Source organism: Homo sapiens, chromosome 15 (assembly GCF_000001405.40).
Source record: "Homo sapiens chromosome 15, GRCh38.p14 Primary Assembly".
In the NCBI taxonomy this organism is placed as follows: domain Eukaryota; kingdom Metazoa; phylum Chordata; class Mammalia; order Primates; family Hominidae; genus Homo; species Homo sapiens.
The window spans coordinates 74,083,714-74,101,417 of record NC_000015.10 but is presented as its reverse complement, the minus strand read 5'-3'; the positions used below and the strand labels follow the sequence as shown (position 1 = coordinate 74,101,417).

General features: G+C 52.1%; 1 protein-coding gene, 1 long non-coding RNA gene and 1 pseudogene across 4 annotated transcripts in view, besides 5 other annotated features; 2 read left to right on the top strand and 1 right to left on the bottom strand.

The window, feature by feature from the left end:
- The window catches only part of ISLR2 (immunoglobulin superfamily containing leucine rich repeat 2), a 41,509-nt gene extending 40,409 nt beyond the window's left edge, over positions 1–1,100 (bottom strand). Inside the window, exon 1 of one of the 2 annotated variants that reach the window (XM_024450003.2) lies at positions 949–1,100. The gene's annotated coding sequence lies outside the window, so the exon portion shown is untranslated. Of the gene's footprint in view, positions 1–683; positions 831–948 lie in introns of those variants that run through there. The other variant, XM_024450004.2, reaches the window with a different exon arrangement.
- Positions 1,163–1,262: an enhancer, noted in NCBI's record as "active region_9741". NCBI's record gives its function as "activates an Ori minimal core promoter by ATAC-STARR-seq in GM12878 lymphoblastoid cells {active_cell/tissue: GM12878}" and the evidence as "EXISTENCE:reporter gene assay evidence [ECO:0000049][PMID:35858748]".
- Positions 1,212–4,305, top strand: COMMD4P2 (COMM domain containing 4 pseudogene 2; annotated as a pseudogene). The gene is made up of 5 exons (NR_160652.1): positions 1,212–1,395; positions 3,004–3,075; positions 3,587–3,626; positions 3,947–4,064; positions 4,225–4,305. The product of NR_160652.1 is annotated as a COMM domain containing 4 pseudogene 2 (transcript).
- Positions 4,101–4,692: an enhancer, noted in NCBI's record as "H3K4me1 hESC enhancer chr15:74389067-74389658 (GRCh37/hg19 assembly coordinates)". NCBI's record gives its function as "activates a minimal SCP1, AML or CMV promoter by ChIP-STARR-seq in primed H9 embryonic stem cells {active_cell/tissue: H9 hESC(primed)}" and the evidence as "EXISTENCE:reporter gene assay evidence [ECO:0000049][PMID:30033119]".
- Positions 6,985–7,501: an enhancer, noted in NCBI's record as "H3K4me1 hESC enhancer chr15:74386258-74386774 (GRCh37/hg19 assembly coordinates)". NCBI's record gives its function as "activates a minimal SCP1, AML or CMV promoter by ChIP-STARR-seq in naive H9 embryonic stem cells {active_cell/tissue: H9 hESC(naive)}" and the evidence as "EXISTENCE:reporter gene assay evidence [ECO:0000049][PMID:30033119]".
- Positions 9,662–10,462: an enhancer, noted in NCBI's record as "H3K27ac hESC enhancer chr15:74383297-74384097 (GRCh37/hg19 assembly coordinates)". NCBI's record gives its function as "activates a minimal SCP1, AML or CMV promoter by ChIP-STARR-seq in naive H9 embryonic stem cells {active_cell/tissue: H9 hESC(naive)}" and the evidence as "EXISTENCE:reporter gene assay evidence [ECO:0000049][PMID:30033119]".
- LOC107987224 (uncharacterized) lies at positions 9,866–12,972 on the top strand. The gene is made up of 3 exons (XR_001751605.1): positions 9,866–10,087; positions 11,541–11,579; positions 11,957–12,972. It is a non-coding gene; the product is annotated as an uncharacterized LOC107987224 (long non-coding RNA).
- Positions 14,450–15,159: an enhancer, noted in NCBI's record as "OCT4-NANOG hESC enhancer chr15:74378600-74379309 (GRCh37/hg19 assembly coordinates)". NCBI's record gives its function as "activates a minimal SCP1, AML or CMV promoter by ChIP-STARR-seq in naive H9 embryonic stem cells {active_cell/tissue: H9 hESC(naive)}" and the evidence as "EXISTENCE:reporter gene assay evidence [ECO:0000049][PMID:30033119]".

The window sequence follows — 17,704 nt, the reverse complement described above, 5'->3', positions numbered from 1 at the left end:
GTGCATGGGATAGGCATGGAATTGAGGAGAGAGCTCAAACTATGGTCAGCCTTCTGTATCCTCGGGTTCTGGGTCCTTGGATTTAACCAACTGTGCATCAAAAATATTTGGAAAAAGTAAAACAATAAAAAAACACAAAAATTTAAAAATACTTTATATCAGCTATTTACAAAGCATTTATGTTGTATTAGGTATTATAGCAATCTAGAGATGATTTAAAGTATACGGAAGGATGTGCATAGGTTATATGCAAATACTATGCCACATTATATCAGGAACTTGAGCATCTGTGAATTTTGGTATCTCTGGGGTCCTGGAACCAGTATCTTGAGGTTACTAAGCGACGACTGTATTCAATTTCTTCTTTGGTTATTAGTTTATTCTTTAATGTATTTTTGTTGTTGTTTTGTCTTTTTGTTTTTGCCTCTTCAAGTCAACGTCGGAAACTTAGTTGTTCTAGACTACCCATTAGCTCAAAGCTACCAGTAATCAGACTACCACTGCAATCTAAGCAACCGATTTTTTTTTTACCCATCAGACTGGCAAAAATTAAGATAAGATCTAGTGATGTTGAAGCTGTGGGGAGTTTTTCCTGAGCATGTTAATTATGACAGCCCTTTTTACTAGGCACCTAGACGATTCATCAAAATGAAATAAAATACCCATGCACTTGAAGAAGTTACCTGGTTATTTCCTTATCTGGGTGCTGGTTATGTGAGGTCTACAGTTGATGAAAACTTATTAAGCTTTATATTTCTAATAGGTACAATTTTCTGTATGTGTAATATATTTGAAAAGTTTTTAAAATGTTTTTTGCCACAGCCCGCAGCTGTGTATAATGCTATTCGCTTAACAGTGGAAAACATGGCAATGACCTGAATCTCCCTGGCTCCCGGGATCCTACCCCCTTAAGTTAACGAAAATAAAAGTAAAAGAAATAACTTCCACTGTCTTTCGTAATGCCTTAAATCCGTCCTCAGTTAAACCGGCGGTTGGCGCTGGTTTTTTCCAGGGCAGGATTCTGGGAGACGGAGGAGCAGACGCCAGCATTTCGCCCCCGGCACCTCCAGCGGGCTGCGGTCCGCTCCCGGCCTCACTCGAGCAGGTCCCGCCCCGCCAGAGGCCGTTAGTCCAAGTCACGTGATCGTCGACTCAGCTGACCTGGCGGGACCGGAAAAAGAAATTCCCGGGCCCTGGCTTCCTCGCGCGATGTATGAGGCACCAGGGGTGAAGCGGGCATGGGCTGCTGGAGCGGGAATGAGGGGGCGCCAGTGGCTCCGGAAACGGGTTGAGGTTGTCTGCACTGGCCGCTCCGCAAACACAGTGTGTGCGGGCGTCAGGGCAGCAGGTCTGGTAGAGAAAAGTCCACCGCCATCCCTCTCCCGAATGGGGCGGGTAAGACAGAGCAGGCCGGCCGGCTTAGAGTTCCCTGCTTCCCTGGCGGAAGGAAGGGCCCCTGACTCCTGGGGCAGGAACTAGGGCTTGTCTGGAGCTGGGAGTCCTTTCAGGTCTTCTCTAGCTCCAAAAGGACCTCCCAAGGACACCCCCTTCCCCAGCCCTGCTGTGGGACTTGGACAGGAAAGTGCTAGAATCAGGCTCACTCTTGCACACTGTTAGGAAGCCACTCCGCTCTTTTCAGATCCAGAAAGTAGTAGTTTTGGGGCTGATACTTATCCATCCATTCATCCAATCCATCCATCCATAGGTTCAAAGTGCCTAGTCTATACCATGAATTGTACTAGGCACTGGGAGGACTTGAGCTGCCGCGGGAAGGGGAAATCAGAGGCTTGAATTGGCAGTCATAGTTAAGGCTCCAGGGGCAGAGACCTAACTGCGCCTTGTGTGTAGTGCTAAGGGGGCTTCCTGAGGATGCCTTCAACCTTAAAGGCGATGGCAGGAGTTGGCTGGCTGAAGTACAGTTTGTGTACCAGGGGTTGGGAGGCAACGGTGGGAGGCGTGTGTCTTCAGACAGGGAACAGCATGTGCAGAGACTTCAGGTGAGAGAGAGCATGGCTCCCCAGGAATGAATGCATTTCCCATAGCTGGGAGAGTATCATCTGGAGGTTAGGGAAAGATGAGTCTGGACAAGTAAAGGCCAAATCTTCCTGACTGTTGGATCACCACAATCAAGATAACGAATATATCCACCGGCCCCCAAAATTTCCTTGTGTTAGGGGCTGTTTTAGGAAGTATGATCAAGAAGGGCTGGCCTGCCAGGGTGGAGTGGCTCACGCCTGTAATCCCAGCACTTTGAGAGGCCAAAGTGTGCAGATGACCTGAGGTCAGGAGTTCGAGATTAGCATGGCCAACACAGTGAAACCCTGTCTTTACCAAAAATACAAAAAAGTTGGGTGTGGTGACGCATGCCTGTAGTCCCAGCTACTTGGGAGGCTGAGGCAGGAGAATTGCTTGAACCCGGGAGGTGGAGGTTGCAGTGAGCCGAGATTGTGCCATTGCACTCCAGCCTGGGCAACAGAGCGAGACTCCGTCTTTAAAAAAAAAAAAAAAAAGAAGGGCTGGTCTGATGAGGTGTCACTTGAGCAGAGAGTGGAATGAAATAAAGGATAGCAAGCCACATAGAGAGTGCAGCGGAAGCAAGGCTGGTGTCCCTGAGCTGCAGCAGGGAAGCTGGAGTGGCTGGAGTTGTGTGGGTATGGGGAAGAAGGGAGAGAGTTCACTCGTCTCTGTGAGGCCCAGGACTTTGTTTTATCCCATGCTGTACCCCCAGCACTTAGAGTGGGAGCTAGCACAGAGAAGGTGCTCAATTGATGTTTGCTGAGCAGATGAATGCCTGGAGTAGACCTCAGAGCAGGGTTTGGTGGCAGGGTGGGTCAGGTAGAGTTTACTCAACAGCCTGGTGATAGGGGAGAACAAGTGGCCAGAGGGTATCCATCTATGTCGGGGACCAGGGGTCCCTGCTGGGCAGCAGTGTGGGAGACACAGGGATCCTGGCCACACCTCAGTCTTCTTTCCAGCCTGATTACCTGCCTCCCTCCCTTGCAGAGGTTTCGGTTCTGTGGTGATCTGGACTGTCCTGACCGGGTCCTGGCAGAGATCAGCACGCTGGCCAAGATGGTTGAGTGCACAGGGTCTACACTGGGTGGAGGAGGGGTGTTGGGCTGGGGATTGTGGCTGTAGAGGATGGTGAGGTTTCTCTGGGGCTAGGGCCTCAGTGCTCTCAGCCTGTGCTACCATGCTTTGTGACCTTGATCAGTGGCTGGCCTGCTTTGAGCCAGTCCCCAGGAAGAAGGGGTGAGGTTTGCCAGCCTGGCTGATGTAAGGACTTCCTTTCCAGTCCTCTGTGAAGTTGCAGCTGCTCTGCAGCCAGGTACTAAAGGAGCTGCTGGGACAGGGAATTGATGTGAGTACAAGATCCAGCACCCCATTGTCCCATGACCTTATGACCACCACTGCCCTGAAACTCTGCACTAGGCCCGGGGAGACGGGTGAGCCAGCCTCTCAACCTCTCTGGGTACCTCCCTTCCTTCTTTCCAGCCTGTCTGTTCCTTATTGCAGGATCCAGGCTGGGGGTGAGGGGCTGGTGAGCAGGGACCTGGCACCCCCTGAAGGTCTCCTTTCCCCATAGTATAAGAAGATCCTGAAACTCACAGCTGATGCCAAGTTTGGTGAGCACCCCGCTGAGTTCACAGGCCCCAGGCAACCCTGGGACCTCGGCCTGGTGCCTGGTACAGAGCCCGCCCCCCACCCCCCCGCCAACACACACATCCCAGCAGTATCCTTAACCTGCCTTCCCTAGTGGAGGAGCATGAGGGAAAGAAAGACATTGACAGTCCCACCTTCCTGTCCTCTGCCAGCTCCTGGTGGAGCAGTAGCAGTGCCTATGGCTCCAGGAGGCCTGGGGGCTTTGAGCTGAAGTTAATAGGGCAACAGGGAGGTGGCTGGGCCCACAGTGACACCCCCTGTCCCATGCATGGGTCCCTGAGAGTCAGGCGATGTGAAGGCCACAGTGGCAGTGCTGAGTTTCATCCTCTCCGGTGCGGCCAAGCACAGTGTCGATGGCAAATCCTTGGCCAGTGAACTGCAGCAGCTGGGGCTGCCCAAAGGTACGGGTTGTGGGTGGGCAGCTGGGCAGCCTGTGGGCCAAGGGCTGCTAGAGAGTGGGCCAGGCCCTGTGACCCTGAGGTGTACCCTGCCCTGTCTGGGCCAGGAGCCCAAGCCCAGCCCCCACCTGCTACCTCCAGAGCTTCTCCATTCTACCCCCAGAGCACGCGGCCAGCCCGTGCTGCTGTTATGAGGAGAAGCAAAGCCCCTTGCAGAAGCACTTGCGGGTCTGCAGCCTACGCAGTAAGTATGAGGCCAGCCAGGGTCCGGGCTCATCCTAGAAGGTGCACGCAGCACACAAAGTGCGTGGAGAGTCCAGGGAGACAATTTAACCGCAGTCACATACCGAGCAGCCGCAGAGCCGGGACGTGGCCCTCGGTCTCCTGACCCCGCGCGCTCTGTGATGTGTACGTACAGGATCAGACCTTGCCCTTTCCTCCTGGCTGACCCTTCCTTAGTCCCCCGTGCCCCATGTGTGAGCACCCAGCTCACTCTCATTCCTCCCTCTCCAAAGCGTGGTCCCTGGCAGCACGAGTGGCAGAAGGGACAGCAGAGACTGTGGACCCCTCAGCTGCACCTAAGACCTCTGTGTGGTCTAGCCGTGTGTGCTGGGGGAGGCTTTTGGCCACCATTTCCCCCTCTGTAAATGAGACCGATACCTGTGGCATGGAGGACAGGAGGCTGGTGTGAGTGCCAAGCACTTGGAGCAGGGCCCTGAGTGAGCATGGACATGGGAACAGGGGTGTTTCTCGACTTTGTGCACCTTGGGGATGGGAGTGGGGCTCCCTGCATGGGTTGACAAGGCATTGCTTTCCCCCACCCCACCTCTGTCCCAGCCCTGCAAGTCCAGTCCTTGGGGGTCTAGGAAGGAAGAAGCCCCTGGCTGTTTGGCCTCAGGCTGGTGCCTGGCCCTCTCTGGCTCTGAGTTCCTGGGAAAGTCAGCACCCAAGGCATGCCCTCAAGTTTAGCACCTTGACAAGAAGGGCGGGGACACTGGGATCAGGCCCAACTCTTTGGCCCCAAATCCCACGGCCCCAGCTGGAGGATGAGGAGACGCTGGGCTTGGATGGGGAAATCAGGGGTGTAAAGGGGCCTGCTCACCCCTCAGCTTGGCTCAAAGGCTCAAGGCGTCAAAGGCTCAGCCTGCCACTCAGGAAGGAGCCCTGGCCAAGCCAGACACTCACCAGGACAAGGGCAACTGTGATGAGCAGGAGGCCCAGGATGAGGAGAGCCATGGCATAGCTGGAGATAAAGGCATCCAGCAGGCTGGAGGCTTTGGGGCTAGGACTGCCTAGAGCAGAGCAAGAAGGCTATGGCCAGGCGGGGCTCTGCCTCTCAGACTTCTGAGAAGACAGAATCTGGGCCCAGAAGTTGCTGCGGGACCAGAGAGCTGGGGCTAGGAGCACCTTAGAGGGCTCCATGAGGAGGGGAGGCAGGCTTCAGATCAGGGCATGTGGAGGCAGCGAGCCCAAGGGAGGAGGCAGAGGGACAGAGGGAGGCAGCCTGCAGAGGGAAGGAGGTACTGACCGAGGTCTAGGATGACCGTGTCTACCAAGACGCCCGCTGCCTCCCACAGGGTGTGCAGGCCCTGGCGTGCACAGTGCCACATGACGGCCTGGGCTGGCGCCACCCTGAAGAAGGTGGCACCCACTCTGGCGGTCAGTGGGTCCAGCCTGCTGAGAGGATTATCACAGACTTCAGGGGTCTGTGCAGCCTTGGGGGACTAGGGGAGGTCATCTCTTCCAGCCTCCTGTCCTCAACCCCAGAACCCCGGTATGAGCCCTGGGTCACCCAGGGCCACCCCGGACCCACTGGAATTCCTCCACCACCGCTTGGTCAAAGTTCTGCAGAGATCTGAGGACAAGGGTCAGCTGGGGGGTCAGAAGAGGATGAAGAGGGTCACAGCTCTACCAAACAAAGCTTCATTCCTTGTGGCCCCTGGCCCACCCCTCTGCTGCCAACCTCAGGCTGGCCCAGCCCTGCAGAGTAGGTGCCCAAAGGCATCGTAGCAGTTCCTGTCATGCTGGTCTCCCCCCGGGGCCCCCTCTGGAGCCTGGTACCACAGATCTCAGGGTAGGGGGTACAGCTCAGTCTCCCTTCCCTCTCATCCCCCTCATAGGGGCTTAGTCCACCAAGGCCCCTGACTGCTAGGGGACCCACACCCACGGCCTCCTTCTTTCTGACTGCTGGCCCTTCCCCAGCCTGGATACTTGAGCCCTGGGCAGAGGGGTAACAATCCCAGGACTGTCTTCATAAGCAGAGAGGCCACTTGGCACCAGGCTCTTACTCCTTGGGCTGAGCTCAGCAGCAGGTGTGTCACCAAGGTCCCCTGGGCAGAAGGGGCTCAGCCCTGAGGGCCCATCACTCGCCATGCCTGCACGTTCCTGCTAGGCATCCACCCTGGGGACCCAGCTTTCCCCCTTCCCCCAGCTGCTGGCAGGCCTGTCTTGATTCATCCAGGGTCCTTCAGGCCATGCCGGGAAGCAGCCAGCAGCTGGGAGGAGCACTTGGGGTTTCTGCATCTTTTTTTATGGAGCTGACTTGGGTGGGAGGGGCTACAGACTCAAGGGAGACTGCAGGCCACCCCTTCCCCACTCCCTGGCTGGGTAGGCTTCCAGCTCAGGAGTCTGATTGGAAGGATGGGACCGTCCTGTCACAGAGGCAGGTCTGAGTAGTCCAGGCCCAGTTTTACCCTCCAGCAGGGCCCCTTTCATTCATTTGTCCAGCTGGCTTTGCCCAAAGCACAAGTAATGTCTATGTGTACTGTGTCCCCTGTCCCCAAGGGGAGTATGGCTCCAGTCCTGGCCTGGAACTCAGAGACCTTAGAATTAGAGGCCACATCTGGCAGGGTGGACCAGCATGGTCTGCCCACGGCCAGGGCAGGTACCATGTTGGCAGCCCCAGACCTGACACCACGGCTCCCGTCTCCCCTCTCCACTTCCATCCTGCACATCACCTACACTACGCGCTGTCCCTGATGAATCCAAGCTGTCAGCTTCTGTCAGCTTGGCTGGGAAGTCATGCTGACCGTAAGGGGAATGGTGCAGCCTGAGTTGGGGGCTGAGTGGGAATGGGCCTGGTGTGGGGTGGGGGAGGTGGGGGTGAGGCGGGTGTCTGGCGCCTCTCTGCTTATCTTCCTTTCTCCTTTGTCCACAAAGGAGGCATCTTTTCCATGTCCCTCTGCCACCCTGGGGACATAAAATACTGCCCCACTTCTGTCTTCCCTTGGACATAGCCCACCTATCTTCCTGTGGGACTCAGGGCTTTGTTTTGTCCTGTGGCCCACATGAGAAGCAATTATCCCTGCTCTGCTCAGCTGAGAGAGGACAAACTGAGGCAGAGCAGGGGAACAACTCTGTCATAGTCTGGCTGTTAATGGCAGAGTAAAGACCAGCCCTTCCCTGAGTGTCAGGTCCAGTAGACATTATATTAGTCCGCTTTGCATTGCTCTAGAGGAATACTTGAGACTGGCTTATTTATTTATTTTTGAGATGAAGTCTAGCTCTGTCGCCCAGGCTAGAGTACAGTGGCACAATCTCAGGGCACTGCAACCTCTGCCTCCTGGGTTCAGGCTACTCTCCTGCCTCAGCCTCCTGAGTAGCTGGAATTACAGCCATGCACCACCATGCCTGGCTAATTTTTTGTATCTTTAGTAGAGACAGGGTTTTGAAATGGAGTTTCGCTGTTGTGGCCCAGGCTAGAGTGCAATGTTGTGATCTCAACTCATTGCAACCTCTGCCTCCCAGTTCAAGCAATTTTCATGCCTCAGCCTCCCAAGTAGCTTGGATTACAGGCACGCACCACCATGCCCGCCTAATTTTGTATTTTTAGTAGACAGGGTTTCACCAGGTTGGTCAGGCTGGCCTTGAACTCCTGACCTCAAGTGATTCACCCGCCTCAGCCTCCCAAAATATTGGGATTACAGGCATGAGCCACCACTCCTGGCACTGAGACTGGTAATTTATAAAAGAGGTTTATTTGCCTCACAGTTCTGTAGGCTGTACAAGCATCTGCTAGGCTTCTGGTGAAGCCTCAGGAAGCTTTTACTTCTAGTGTGAGGCAAAGAGGGAGCAGACATGTCGCATGGTGAGAGAATAAGCAAGAGAGAGGAGGCATCAAGCTCTCCTGTGAACTAATAGAAAACTCACTCATTGAATCACTTGAACCTGGGAAGTGGAGGTTGCAGTGAGCCAAGATCATGCCACTGCACTCCAGCCTGGGCTATGAGCGAGACTCTGCCTCAAAAAATAAAAAAATAAAAAATAAGAAAACTCACTCATTACCATGGGGAGGGCACTAAGCCATTCATGAGGGATCCCCCACCATGACCCAAACACCTCACACTATAGGCCCCATCTCCAGCATTGGGGATCACATTTCAACACGAGATGTGGATGGGACAAGTATCCAAACTATGTCAGAGGCCTCCCCCTCCCTCTCATCAGAATCTTCTGTCCTCAGTTCAGGTGCATGCTGGCCTCCATGCCTGGCTTCCTAGAAAGTCATCTTGGCGCCAAGGGGTTGGGCAGGGCCACTAGGCTGAGGGTTGGAGCCCTATCTCTCCTAGTCCCAGCCTGGGTCTCCATCACTGGGTAACCCGTACTGCTCGCTGCATTCTCTCCACACCTGCTCCCTACAGCCCAGGGGTCAGTCTGGGTGCAGGCCTGGGTAGAGGTCCAGGAGCAGATTCTGCCCCCCAGCTCATACTTCCTGTGCACCATGGCAGAAAATGCACCAGCATGGCCAGGAGCACTGGCTTGTCCCTGTAGTCTCAGTGTTTTGGGAGGCTGAGGTGGAAAGATCGCTTCAGACCAGCCTGGGCAACATAGTCAGACCCTGTCTTGAAAAAAATAAAATTAGGCATGGTGGCATGCACCTGTAGTCACAGCTACTCAGGAGGCTAAGGTGGGAAGATTGCATGAACCCAGGAGGTCCAGGCTGCAGTGAGGTGTGATTGCACCACCACAATCCAGCCTGGGCAACAGAGCAAGACCCTGCCTCTGAAACAAGAAACAAAGTGCACCAGTGTGTGGATTCCAGCTTCTCCTGGTGTGTGGACCTGACCTCACTCAGCCCCATCAGTGAGTAGGAGGCTTCCTGCTGTCTTCCAGAACACTCTCACCACTACACCTGTGTTCCTCCTGCATTCTCTGGCAGGCTTTGTGAGGAGACCTGTCACCTGCCTCTCTGGCTGCCCTAAGGCCCAGCTCAAACCTTCCCTGACCCTGAGAACCTTTTTCTGAAGAGTCTTTCCCCCACCCATAGGCCCCCTCATTTCAGAGCTTTTGGTGGGGTGAGTACAAGGATCGACTCTCTGCTACCAGCCTGGGTAGGGTCCCTAGGGTTGGGTCTCTGGATGGCATATGAGGGTCTAGACCAGGATCCAGATGCCTGTAACCTGAAGGGCAGGCCCTCAGCTGCCCCAACTTCATGGAGCCCCTCGTCCAGCCTGACCTTCTGGGATAGGCCCAGCCCCTGCATCCTTTGGTCTTGGTCCCTGCAGGGAACTCTGGTTACCCTGGCTTACCTACTTTGACTCCAAAAGTAATGCTGACATCCCCCGTGAGACACAGTGACAGACTGAGACTAACGTAGGGTTACGTGGCTCAGAGTCACCATGGCCAGGCAGAGCTCAGGTCCTAGCACTGTTCAGCCCTGCCTCCCGGGTTCAAGTGATTCTCCTGCCTCAGCCTCCCAAGTAGGTGGAACTACAGGTGCATGCCACCACACCCGGCTAATTTTTTGTAGTTTTAGTAGAGATGGGGTTTCACTGTGTTAGCCAGCGTGGTCTTGATCTCCTGACCTCGTGATCCGCCCACCTCAGGCTTTCAAAGTGTTGAGATTACAGGCCTGAGCCACTGCACCCAGCCTCCCTAACACTCTTCTAGCTCTGGTGCCCTGCAGGGTCTCCCTTGGAGCACCTGGAGCCCAAGAAGCTGTCCCTCACCTTTGCAATCCCAGGGACTCGCCCCCTGATCATGATGAAGGTGGACCCAAACCCGCTGAGGGGCCTGAAGGAGCAAAGGTCAGCCTCTGCCTCCCACGGCCTCTCTGATGGGGGGGATGTTATCCCAGCAGCATGAGCTGGGAGCAGAATTGGGAGGATGGGGGGTTTTCTCTGTGGGTAGCTCTGGGCTCCAAGGTGGAGCCCTCTTAACCTGGCCGCTCCCCTGTGACTCTCCTTAGCCCCAGGCAAAGAAAGCAGCTTGCCGGAGGTCACCTGTCAGATAGGGAAAGAGTGGGACCTGGGTTCTTTCTCACCCAGCTGCAGCTCTCCCTTCCCCCAGCCCCTTCCCCCAGGTGATAGAGAACCTGGCAGGCTGTGTCCCATAGAAGAGTTCACTTTCCTTCTGGTAAGGGATGGGAACCAGCTTGGGATGGGAGGGATGAGGGGTCTGGGGGCTCTCCCAGCCCTGCCTCACATTTGAAGGATGGCATCTGGGTGTCAGCATGGTTTAGGCTAGACGGGGCGGCCCCGAGGTTTATAGCCTGGCCTCGGGCAGGATGCTGCCATGCCACCTTCTCTTCTGCACGTCCTGACCTGGCATCCTACCTAAAGGTCCTCAGGTCTCCTGCCCCCTGGGCATTGCCCCCACTCCCTGCCCAGACACAGCTGTCCTTGTCCTGGACTAATCTTCAGAGATTCTTGTCCAGCCCACAGCTTTGCTGGACATCGCAGGCTGGGCCAGGCCCCCTGCCCAGCACTAACATCTCTGTGTGTCTCAACCAGACTGAGCTGCAGCTTCAGGGTCAGGGTAGGCTCTGACTTAATTGACGTGACCCAGGACAAGGGGATTTATTGATGGTGTCACATATGCTTAAGCTCTTGGCCTCTATGATTTCTTTGGGGCATGATACCCCTCTGTCCCATGCTTAGGTGCCCACCTGTGGCCACAAGTACCTTTCTTACCACCATCCCTACTTGAGATCGGTGTCCAGGCACCTGTGGCTCCACGCAGAACGCTGAGCACAGAGCCAGGCCTGGGCGGATGTTCTGCAGGGGCTGCAGGAGCTGACAGTCCTGACCACCCAGCCCGTGGCCATCCATTCCCTTTCACCGTGGCTGGCTCTTCATCCACCATCCTTCCAGGGGCCAGGCCTGAACCCAAACTGACTTTTACCTGCCCTGGTCCCCCTTGTGCCTATCAGGTTCTTGGCTGAGCATGATGTTCTTGCCCATTTCCTTGATTATCCTCAAAAGGTTTATAGAACCACTTGGGGACATCACATCTGTCTACCAGGTCCTCACCAGAGACATGACTGCCTTGGGCCGGGCCTGGGATAGTCAGGGGTCACACTCACCTGTTGGGACCTAGCTTCAGTGGCTTCAATCTGGGCAATGGCCTGATGGGCGGCTGCCCCTTCTCCTCTGCTTGGGGGAGGCAGGAGAGGAAGGTCAGGGAGGAGATCTGCTTCCTGCCCACCTGACACTGGTTGGAAGCAGGGCGCCCACCTGTGCCTGTCTCACCTTGCTGCAGGTGCATCGGAGGCCGAACCCCTCTCCTGATCTCCTGCAGGTGTGGATTCCAGGTTTCCAATGGGTGTCAGTGTGGGCTCCAGAGCTCTCCTGGTCCTAGGGAACCCTGGGCTCCATGAGGCCTTCGCCTAGCCAGATTGTTTCCCACACTGTCACCTCCCCACCCTGTCACCTCCCCAAACATGGGGCTGCATGCTCTGTGCCCTGGGTGGGACATTGGAAGGAGTGCCACCTTCCAGGTTTGGATCACAGTAAAGCCTCTGCCATGGGGATGTGCTGGCTGAGACAGATGGGGTTGAACCAGTCATGATATGTTGGCCTTGGGCAAGTCATCTGTGCCTTGCTTCCCTTTCCCCAGCAGCCAGAAGGGATAATAGCACCTATTTCACCCATACTCAAGTGTTCATTTGTTAGCAGGAACTGAGTCCCGGAGGAGGTGCAGGTGGAGCCATTGAGGCAGCACTGCAGCTGGACCTGGGTCTGAGTCCCAGCTCCTGGCTGTGATATGCATCACTCTCTCCATTTATTTATCTGAAAGACAGGGCTGTGCTGTTCTGGGGTCACTGTGAGAATGCAACTGGCCTGTGTGAGTTGGTGGTGGCCTCCTGTGATAGTTTGAGGTGGGCTGGAGGTGTGTCTTGAATGCCCCCTCACCCCCATGGGGAAGACCCACTTAGGGAAGACTCAAGTGTCTGTATGGAGGAACCCACATTCCCTGCCCCTCAGCTGTCCTCTGTCCCTTCCTAGCCCCCTCTGCTGTCCTGCAGGCTCTGGCGGTGGCCATCCAGCTTGGTGGCCATCTGGCTGATCCACTCCTCCAGGTGGACCCTCTGTCCTCATGTGGTGCAGGTCCCATTGTGCCACCTCCAGACAGGCCATGCTAGCCCCAGGGCCTCCGTTCCCTGTTACCCAGCCCCCACCCCCAGGTACGTGCCACCTCCCTAAAGCCCACTGTGTCCACCAGCTGTGTTTCAACTCTGTCTCTGAGCAAGGCCTAACGCAAAGCCTGAAACAGCCTGGCTTGTAGAGGGCCAGGAGACCAAAGCTTGAAGAGAGAGTGACGGTCTCCCAGAGCCCACTTAGCCTCAGCCCCAGGGCTGTGTCCATGCTGTTCCTGGCTCCAGTGAGCCAATTCTCTCCCCTGACGCCCGTAAGGGCTCCAGTGGTGATGGAGGTAGCTGGAGAGAACAAGGCTGTCTTAACCCTCCCTCCCTGAGAAGGCCCAACGGGGAACGTTTTAGGCATCAGGGCATTCTGGGGGGCATCTTCCAGGGACCCCTCCTATACCCTGCCCTGCCCTGGCTCTCTAGTGAGAAATTGCAGTTGCTTGGACAGTGGGGCTGACCCAGGACAAATGCATATATTGGGCTGGTCTTCAGGGTGCTGGGGTAGGGGCAGGGGCACTTCAGGGATAGGAAGGAGGGGCCTGTGTGTTCCAGAAGTACAGAGGAACCTGGTGCCGGCCGCAGTCAACCCCTATGTGATGATCTTTCTACCCGCCCTCTTTCGTGTCTTGGTGCTGGCTGCTGTCTTTGGCCAGGTAAGCTCATGGTCTGGGCTCCTGGGGTCCACTCACTGGGCCTCCACACTGCCTGCAGGTAGGGGAGCCTTTGGGCCAGGACTATCCTTGGCTCCCCTTCCAGGTGGTGGGTTCAAAGACCATTCCTGGGTTCCACCACCGCCAAGCCTCAATGGTCACAGGAACTGCTGGGGCTTTCTAGGTTAAGACCCTTGCCTATCCCGGTGTTCCTCCCTGCAGTAGGGGGCTGCAGGGGTCAGCCTCAGTCTCTGCCTTGGGAGCCTGCCTTACCTTGCCTGAACTCAAGCGATCTGCCTGCCTTGGACTCCCAAAGTGCTGCAATTATAGGCGTGAGCCACTGCACCCAGCCCAGCCTTGACTTTGAAATATATGTTGTACATCCAGACAGCAGTGAACTCTGGGGGAACACCAAAGATGAGGAGAATGAGAGAAGAGATACCTCCAATTAAAGGAGTTAGGAAGAGATGCTTGAACTTATGTTTTAAAAAGTCAATGCAGGTTGGGCACAGTGGCTCGCACCTGTACACACAGCACCTTGGGAGGCTGAAGTGGGTGAACGGCTGGAGCCTAGAAGTCTGAGACCACCCTGGGCAACATGGCAAAACCCCGTCTGTACACAAAATACAATAATTAGCCAGGCACGGTGGTGCCTGTGGTCCCAGCTACTCGGGAGGCTGAGGTGGGAGGTCGAGGCTGCAGTGAGCTGAGATCCACCACTCCACTGCAGCCTGGGCGACAGAGTGACACCCTGTCTTAAAAAAAAAAAAAAAGTCACTGTTTTGGAGTTTTCTGGGTGAAACCTCTGTTTCCATAAAAAAAGAAAAAGGTCGAGACAGTGTGTATTACTGATTCAAAATCATAACCTGATGCTTAGAGTAAATCATTGTATCTATTGTTTCAAAAACCAACGTCAGGATTATTAAAAGTTAATTTTATTGGGTTTTTCTTTAAGCTTGGCTGATTCACTCAGGTCTGTCACTTCCAAGCCCATGTTTTACTACTTTGTAACCCTATTTGGAAGGAAAACTGCAGCTCACATTATGATCCATCCTGAGATGAAGAGTTTCACACATATACACCACATATACCCCCCACCACAGTATGACGACACAGCAACCCAACCTTGGGCAAATGGTACCACTGCCAGCAAATTTTTTTCTTTATTTTAAATATTTTTACTGTATTTCTTCTAACAGCAGCAAATGCATTTAACACTTTATTGAGATTCTCAACAGCTGCCATTTGGTTTGTATAGCAAATTGTTTACAAAGTAACTTTTTTCCATTTTTGATATTTTAATGAAAATTATGTTCTTCAGTTTTAAAGCTCTGTCCCTCTCCCAAAGAAAGGTTAATAACTAACTACCAAGTAATGATTATTTGGGAAAAGAAGAAAAGCAAAACCAGCTTGTAAACACTTCTGGAACGTGGGTAAGGGGCCAAAGTCAAGACCTTCTGGGCCCAGTGCAGGTGCTAGGCTTGCCTCGGGACACCATCAGCACTTCCCCATCCACAACATCCTCAACAGCTGGGAGCCATGTGCAGACCCCAGGGGGCTTCCTGTTCCACAAGCTCCCCTCTCTTTTTCCTCTCCACCCTTGCTGTTGGGCCTCCCTTCCAAATCTGCCTAACAAAGGCAGCAGGATCTTTAATACTGTTCAGCTTTGTCAATGGAGACAGGATACTCTAGAAAGTTGAGAGATTCCCTGGTCCAGTCTGGGGGAGGAAAAAATATGCAGTGTAGCATAGATGGTTGTACTTGTCCACTCAGACACATGCTCATACTTATTAGATGGATGTATCAGATGCTTCAAAAGTCCTGATGTGTAGTAGCACAAAAGCTGCTTGTAAAAAGGAAGTTGCAAAATGATAAAAATTTCTGCAGCAGTTCAGGCTCCTGATGACAAAGCTGGTTCTGATAAGTAGTTCTTTTGACATGCACAGCAGGTTTCACTGTAAGTCCTGTGTTCCAGCGGTTTCATTTAGACCACGGGAAGTTGAAAGCAAAGTTTAAATGTTCTCTGCTGACAAAATGTGGTATATATCCATCAATGGACTTCTACTCAGTAATGAAAGGAACAAACTACCAAAACCTGTTATATGTCATGGACCAACCTCAAAAACCTTAGCTAAGTAAAAAGCCAGACATGTGACCACATATTGTATAATTCTGTTGATTTGAAATGTCCAAAAAAGGCAAGTTGATAGAGACAGAAATGGTCTGATTTACCTCAAGAAGTAGGGATTCAAGCTCTTAGGGTACATGTGATACATACATTAGAAGAAATAAGGAAAAGAAAAGAAATTTATATGTAAATAAATGAAAATAATACTTCTCCCTGATTATAAAGAAAATTGCATTCTTTTTGTAATAATTTGGAAGACAAAATATGAAGAAAAGTCTTTAATTTTGCCACTGAAAGCATTCTGGTTTGTTGCTTTTTATATTTTTTTATGCATATGAACATTTTAAAAAGTAGAATCGTAATATATAGTCTTTTGTCACTATGTTTTGGGCATATTTCTATGGCAGTAAATATATCCTTGGCATCATCTTTTTAAAAGCTCGATGTGTATTAAGTTAATCATTGCCACCCCAGAAGTAAATTTTCTTATATATATATTTTAATGGACGCAAGCAAGCATTTTGGGGCTGAAGTCATAGAAGTAGAATTTCTGGAGAAAAATAACATAAAATAGTTTTAAGATTTTTAATAGAAATTTTCAAATTATCCTGCAGAAAAATTGGTTCAGTTTATACTCCCAACAGGGGCAGAGCTCCAGTATCCCGTTTCCATTTGTCCTCTTTGCTGATATTTAAGGAGAAAATCTCATTGTTTTCATTGTATTTCTTTGGTTTCTAGTGCTTTTGAAACTTTTTTTTTTTTTTGAGATGGAGTCTTGCTCTATGGCTCAGGCTGGTGTGCAACAGTGCAATCTCGGATAACTGCAACCTCTGCCTCCTGGGTTCAAGCGATTCTCCTGCCTCAGCTTCCCGAGTAGCTGGGATTACAGGTGCCCACCGCCATGCCTGGCTAATTTTTGTATTTTTTAGTAGAGATGGGATTTCACCATGTTGGTCAGGCCCGTCTCAAACTCTTGACCTCAGGTGATCCACCCACCTCGGCCTCCTAAAGTGCTGGGATTACAGGCGTGAGCCACGGCCCTGGCCTTGAATCATTTTTATGTGCTTATTGGCCATTTTTATTCTTGTGGGAAGTGCCTGTTTCTCCATTGCCTATTTTCTGGCCAAGCTCCCAAGTCACATTTCACTTAATTTTTATCCTGCTGATTGAAAGCATTTTAACATAAACAGGAGCAGGACAGACTGTAATTATCTAGATCTTGCTCTGTCACCCAGGCTGGAGTGCAGTGGCATGATCATAGCTACCACAGCGTCGTACTCCTGAGCTGAAGCAGTTTTCATACATCAGCCTTCCAAGTAGCTAGGACTACAGGTGTGTGCCACCACCCCCAGCTAATTTTTAAGATTTTTTGTAGAGATGTGAATTCACTATGCTGCCCAGGCTGGTCTTGAACTCCTGACTTAAAGTGATCCTCCCACCTTGGCTTGCCAAAGTGTTGGGATTACAGGTGTGAACTACTGCTCCTGGCCGAGGGCTCATTTTGTTTGCTAGTGGTGATATTGGTATCTGTTTATATTTGAGGCTTTGGTGCTAGTGCTGAAGTATTACACTCACCATCCGAGGTTTGCAGGACTTTTGTTTTAATATTGAATAGATGGAACTGTTTACTTCTGCATCTTTGCAGGCATACAAAATGTGCCTACCAGGACTCTGCTTTATATCTATTGAAAGCAAGAAGTAATACAGTAAAACTTTGCCTGGCTAGAGGCTTTGGAAGAATGGAGTATTCTGATTTAATGCTATTGAAGTGTGAAGGTGAAAAGAATGAAAAACTTACATTTCCTGTTGAATGCAACTTGAAAATACAGCCAGTGATTCCACTTTTCTTCTCTAGTAAGTTTGGACATTCTGATCTACTTGGTGTTTTATTATAGAACTGCTAGTGTGCCCGAGACTTACATTGTGAAGACACTTTTTAAAAAACCTGAGAGGGAAGAGGGTGTAAATGGTATTGTGTGAGATCAGGCTGGATGAGAACTGACACTTGTAAACATACTTTTTAGGCTGAATCTCTGATTGCCGTTTGTTTTCTTATTTAACTCATAAAAATAAAACACATTGGATGGAGGGTGGGAGCAGGAAGGAGATTTATGTCTTTTAATTGCATGCCATTGTTTCATATCAAGACAGAACATATGGTATCCCTGGCTTTGGACCTACAGAAGGAAACACATTTTTCTGCCTGCTGTATGCCAGAGGTTCTTGAACACCTGGAGGGATGACTGCAGCACAGATTGCTGAGCCCTACTCCAGAGTTTCTGATTCACCATGTCCAGGGTGGGGCCTGAGAATTTGCACTTATAAAAGGTTCTCAGGTTCTGCTGCTGCTGCTAGTCCAGAGACTACATTTTTGAGAACCACTCTTGTCTACTAACTGTAAATTGTAGAACTCTAGAACAAAGCTTAGTTTGGTGTAGGAAAAGACGCTCACAGGTTATGGAGCAAATCATGAAAGATTCAACCCTTGATCCCAGCCTAG